This window comes from Homo sapiens, chromosome 20 (assembly GCF_000001405.40).
Source record: "Homo sapiens chromosome 20, GRCh38.p14 Primary Assembly".
In the NCBI taxonomy this organism is placed as follows: Eukaryota; Metazoa; Chordata; class Mammalia; order Primates; family Hominidae; genus Homo; species Homo sapiens.
This window is the reverse complement of record NC_000020.11, coordinates 42624569-42630813: the sequence shown is the minus strand read 5'-3', so window position 1 is coordinate 42630813 and position 6245 is coordinate 42624569. Positions and strand designations below refer to the sequence as shown.

Below are 6245 nucleotides of genomic sequence, written 5' to 3'. Positions count from 1 at the left end.
ACAACAGACATGATGTCATGATGGTCATTGTGAATTCACTTAGGCCTGCATGGCAATCGCTAATAACCCTTTGTTTCCATGCCACCTGTCCAGCAAATATTTCTGTTTCTTTCCCTGTGTATCAGGATTTGTGGATAAATAATGTATGATTTTAAATTAAATGCATTGGATGAATTAAGTTTTGAAATTAAGGAAATTTAAAAATTGTCTTTACCTTCTGAATCAAGCAACACCAGAGCTGAGAATTGGTGAATGAATTAGCAAGCTAGCCTGAAACCCATTCAGCTCTTTGTTGGGGACCTGAAGTCATGTGTTCATTTCAACTATTCCTCCCATGGTGAGAGGGTGGTGGTGTGTGGCTCTTTCCTTTACCCTCCCCCCAAGTCAGGGCTGTTGTATTAGTTTATCATTGCTGCTATAACAAATTACCATAGACATAGTGGCTTGAAACCACACAAATTTATTATCTTCTGGCCTTCTGGGAGTCAGATGTCTGAAATGGGTTTCACTGGGCTAAAATCAAGGTGTTGCCTGGATGTGTTGGTTCTAGAGGTTCTGGGACAGAATCTGTCGGCTGACTTTTTCTAGCTCCTAGAAGCTGTCTGCACTGCTTGGCTCATGGCCCCTTCCTCTATCTTCAAAGGTAGCAGTGTAGCATCTTGACATCTCTCTCTGACTCTGACCCTCTTACCTCCCACTTTCATTTACAAGGACACTTGTGATTACACTGAGCCCACCCAAAAAATGAAGAATAATCTCCCCATCTCAAGATCTTTAGCTTAATTATATCTGCAAAGTCCCTTTTGCTAAGTAAGGTAACATATTCACAGGTCTCAGGGGTTGGGATGCAGACTTCTATGGGGACACCCGGCAGTAGAAATCACAGCTGAGACTCTGTAGCAGTTGTGGACTCTAACGCTAAGAGTATCATTTTTCCCCCCATTGGTGTAGGTGTTCAGCAGTGGCTGTTTTGAATCATGCCTGGTTCCCATGTCGTTTGGATCCTTGGCCTATTGCCAGGTCAGTTCCCTTATTACTACTGCCTGGTTCTGGATTTGATCTTCTCCCTGTTCTTTAGAGGTAACGTGTCTGCTTTAAGTCATTGCTTCCTTCATAAGCTGCTTGCTTCTTGCAGGAGACATCTTTGCACTCTGAGTACCAAGCAGACCATCTTAGGACAACCCTCTCCCCCAGAAAAATTGAGTTCTACAAGTTTGGAGGAACACTCAGAATATATCTTCCCCCAACCAGGCAACATTAGAAAACAAGCAATTGTTGGGGCATTATGGTAGGAAAATGTGTTTGCCACCAGATCCCATTGTGTAGAAATTTCCATTTCCATTTAGCCACATTTTTCTCCTGTTTTCTTCTGGCTCACAGGTGCTCAATAGCACTCACCTAGTTGGTTTTGCACAAGATACTTTGCGGTATCTCTGCTTAGAATGTCACACCATAAATGCAGTTGACTGATCTTTGCATTCTTTGACAACTATAGTTCCATCTGCTCTATTTAGAAACTAATGTAATTACTTAAACTGGAGAAGACAGAACTACTTTTGCAGCAAAGTCAAAACATGCATCAACACTCGTCTCTATAATTACTTCACCAGGAAAAAAAAAAAAAGCATCCTCACTGGCTTTTCTTACAAATGAAGAGAGTCTTCCACAGTAATTGGCTACTTACTAAGTAATATATGTCAGATCTGTTCCTCTTACCATAAATCTAGCCTGGCCATCTCACCCTAGGTGTCAAGAAGTCATGTAGACAAAACTCACATACTTCTGTTGCATGACACAGCATTGAAGAATTATGGCCTTTTGAGTTAAATAGATCTGGGTTTGAATCTTTGACTCTGCTACTTTCTTGCTAAGTATTACTGGGCAAGAACAGGGGTTGGCAAACTTTTTCAGTTAAGGGCCAGTTAGTAAATATGTTAGCATTTGTGGACCAAATGGTCTCTGTTGTAACTACTCCACTCTGCTGAAATTGTGTCATACGTAAACAAATGGGCATGGATATGTTCCAACTAAACTTTATTTACAAAAATAGGTTGAATTTAGCCCATGGGCTGAATTTTGCTGAATCTTGGACAAGACACATAAACTCTCTAAACCTCATATAATATTCATAAAGAATATTAAGAGCTAACTTCCAGGGTATTGTTAAAATTTAATCAGATATTGTATATTAAGTGCTTGGAATAGTACCTGACACAAAGTAGATGGTCAACATACCTTCAGGTAAATGGATGGATAGATAGGTGGATGGATGAATAAGAAGGATGGAGAGAGGAAGAGAGGTAAAAAGAAAGAAAAGGAAGGATCAACCATATTAAGATTAAATATATTGAACAATGATTTGCCAGTTTATGGGAGAGAGCTCTCCCTAGCTATAGGGATAATGGACTGAATGAAACTAATTGAGCAGGTGACTCATGTTTTGTCACGTGGAATAGAGCAATAGCGCTATACAGGTGAGCTGCAGAGACTTGTGGCATCACAAAAAAAAAGGTGGTTGAAAGCTTCTCTGCTGTCATCTCCCCTGTCCCACTGAGGAGCTATTTTCTGTATCAGAACCATCCTACCTTCCCTCTGCCTCCTTATAACAACCCACTGTGACTCCAGGGAGATTATTAAAATCCCCCACGGAAGTGGAGGCCCAGAGTTGCCTATCTCCTGACTCCACTGCACTCCCATTTGCCTTCTTTCCCCACCCTGTGTGTCTTGTTAATGTCCAGATGGGGTGGGGGCTGTGATGGCTCCTAGGCCTTAGGGTTTTAGGTCTGTTTCTGCAAATGACTGACCTGTTCTCCCAGTTGTCCCAGCAGGCATTACGGATGGATGAAACCTTGCCTATAAAAGTGTGCATGTGCCCAAGAAAAGACAAGACTTCACAATATTTGAGCAAATGACAAGCATTCCCCATTCGTTACTGATCATCCTTAGAAACAAACTGCAGCGGCTCACACTGGAGCATCTGGCTGTAAAATTTTGTCTCTGAAACAGACTGTCTCAGATTGCAACTAAAATGTTGGAGAAGCTTTTTTTAAAAAAAAAATACGAAAGACAGGAAATAAAACTACTCCACAACACTGAAAACTAGGGCTAGAAATTGGAGCTTTCTTCCAAAAATAGGACATGGAATTGTTCTGTTGAAGCCTCCGTAGATGTGAGCTCAAATACAGGTAAAAGGACCGTTTTTGCCTTACCTTGCTAATTATTAGTTTAGAAACAGGACATGGGGCCAGGCATGGTGGCTCATGCCTGTAACCCCAGTGCTTTGGGAGGCCAAGGCAGAAAGATTGCTTGATGCCAGGAGTTCAAGACCAACCTAGGTAACACAGTGAGACCTCATCTCTACAAAAAAATTAAAAAAATTAGCTGGGTGTGGTAGCATATACCTGTAGTCCCAGCTACATGGGCATGGGAGGTTGAGGCAAGAGGGTTGTTTGATCCCAGGTGTGCGAGGCTGCAATAAGCTCTAGCCTAGGTGAAAGAGACCCTATCTCTTAAAAAAATAAAAAATAAAATAAAATAGAAAGAAAGAAAGAAACATGGAAAAACAGTCTGCCTACCACATTAGTGCTACTTTTCATGATAAACATATGATTAGGTAGTATGATTAAATGGATCCAGAATTTTATGAGACTTTAAGCATGAAGAAAATAAAATCGTACCAAAAATCTGAAACTCACACTTTTAGAATCTCCTAGATGTGCCCGGTCATCCCGGGCATTGCTTTCAGCAGTATGTTCATTATTCAGACAAAAAAAAGTAAAAGATACAGAAATTGATGACCCTTTACAGGAGATCAGAGAGGCCCAGTGTGATAAGGCTTCACGGTAATGTGTAGCTGTGATTTAAATGAATGACAGTGGTTCTCATCCAGGGAATTCTCATTAAGCTCATATTCTGAAGGCAGAGAGTTGAGGTTTTGGCCAAGGAACCTGAGAATTTCCTTCACTCTCACTGCTAGATTGGGGACCCAAGAAGTAACAGATCCTTAGTGGTCAAGTCGGGCCTTAGGAAGGCCTCCCATGGCCTGGGCTATTGTACAGATTCAACTCTCAGCCCTGATGCACCATGATGGATTCCACCTGACCCTCTGTGGCTACTCCCAGGGGGCCCGTTTCTCCGAGCTGGCTCAGGCCCTGTGAATGTAGGTCCTCTCTGACTTCTTGGAATCTTGCAACTAAAGAGGCCTAGCTGGGGCTGGTCAAGGCAGGATGAGAAGTCTAGAAGCTAAAAAGTGTAGAGGGCAATGTAGAAAAAAGGAGGGTAGCTTGCTGCATTTAGTAGTGTACTGAAGAACTGATTTTCTACGCTTGCAAAACAGTTCCCTTTGGTTGTTATTGAGCAAATTTTGGAAACATGCAACTGAATAGGGCAGACATCCTGTGGCCAGTGGGTTCTTAGTCTAATCAGAAACTCAGCTGTAGAGTGGTAAGTGTTAGAATGGAGATGTGTGCAAGTTCAAAGGGAACAGAGAGCAGAGACTTCTTACCTAAGCTTGAAGGTAAGGAGAATCATCTGAAAAATGGGAAGATCACCTGTCCAAGTAGCTTAATGCAGTGGCTGTATGACTCAGAATTTCCAAGAGATATTCAGTTTTTGATAGCTTTTTTTTCTTAAACTAGATGAGCCTCAAAATATATACAAGTAATTTGACTTTTATGTGAATTTTTTAAATGTTTGGCTTAGAAAAATACGGTCACTGAAAACACAAAAGCTCGATAGTTAGTCTCATGCTGTTAGCTGATATCGAAAAGTGTTTAGCATCAAGACAGCCAGTATTGCTGGCTCTATTCTGGTTTTGGATGGATTGCTGGCATCCATTCTGATTTTGATGAAAAGTTCCATTTTGTAGAAATGTTCTACAAAAGTTCCATTTCTACAAAATGGAACTTTTCATCAAAATCAGAATGGATTAGGTAAAGCATATTTGTGAACAAGCACTCAAGGTAGGAATATGTAAAATAAATGGACTCATTTCAGTATATGGCCCTTCCTTGTGAGTGTTCAACCATTATCAGATTATCAATCACTGATTACCTGATCTCCGAGTTGACTGTTTTTCTCTCTCATTGTGTTGGTTGATCCTGTGCCCATCACCACTTGTTGTTTCTAATAATGTTCCTCTGAGAATTATAGACTCACCCACCCATCCATCACTTGGGTCTCTTTACTTCTCTGTGCCCTGGTGTTCTGAGATTGAGATGTGGCATAGCCCCAGCTACCTCTGGAGTTGAGGTTGAAGAGAGTGGTAGGGGCAGAGGATGGGAGAGGGAAGACAGAGACTGACAAACAGCCACTCAGATGGAGGAACAGTCTGCTACCCAGACTCAATTTCACAGAAAGAATTAAAGAAAAAAAAAAACTAGAAAAGGTTCTGGTATGTTTCATATGCTAGGTGCTCTATATGTTTCAATTCACTTCATAGTACATACCTATTCATTCCTTTATTCGTTCTCCCTCTTTCATTTTTCTTCTTTCTGACACACGACTTAGCAAATTAAGTCTTTTTAAATCTCTGGTTTATGCATAATAAGAACGTGCCCCAGAGAAATTAAACATCTTCTCCAGGACCCTGGAGCTAGTAGAGGTTAAGCTGGACCTCACAGTGAGGACTTTCAGCTCCAGAACCCAACTCCTTTGCCATTGTCCCTTGTCCCATCCATTTTACTGCAGTTGCAGACCACTGATTCTGCAGTTATTTGTGGGGCCGCTGTGTCAGTGTTCAGCTTTTTACCTGCTTTGAAAGAAAGACATTTAACAGTGTCTTGTTAAAGAGAATGCTTGGACCTGACCCTGTCTCCTTTTCACTTTGGCTGCCAGGATGCCTCAAGCCAAATTTGGAACTTGACTGTGGTACCTCTGGAGTCCCTTAGGGCTGACAGATGTGTGCCCTTCTGGCCAAGGTGTTCCTCACCGTATATGCTAGTCCTGACTTTTTACGCTTGTTTGCATTTTGCCATTGTAGGCTGCCTCAAGCCCTTTGTGGAATGTGGCTGTGAATAAATAAATAAATAGCTAACTGAATACAAAATGTGTTATGCATGTATCCCTAATGATTGTTAATTAACTATGATTTGCAGCTGCTCCCATATTTCCCACCACTCCTGGCCCCTCAAATCTGGATTTCTGAACATGCCTGGCGTTTCTCCTTTACTCTCTTCAGAACATTCAGAACTGAGTTGGGTTATGGGGACCAAGACTCTTTCCCCATCCTCATTTCAACCTAAGCA

At 41.6% G+C, this 6245-nt stretch overlaps 1 protein-coding gene across 11 annotated transcripts in view; it reads left to right on the top strand.

The window, feature by feature from the left end:
* PTPRT (protein tyrosine phosphatase receptor type T) overlaps positions 1–6245 on the top strand; it is a 1158017-nt gene that overhangs the window by 559093 nt on the left and 592679 nt on the right. The window lies entirely within an intron of this gene.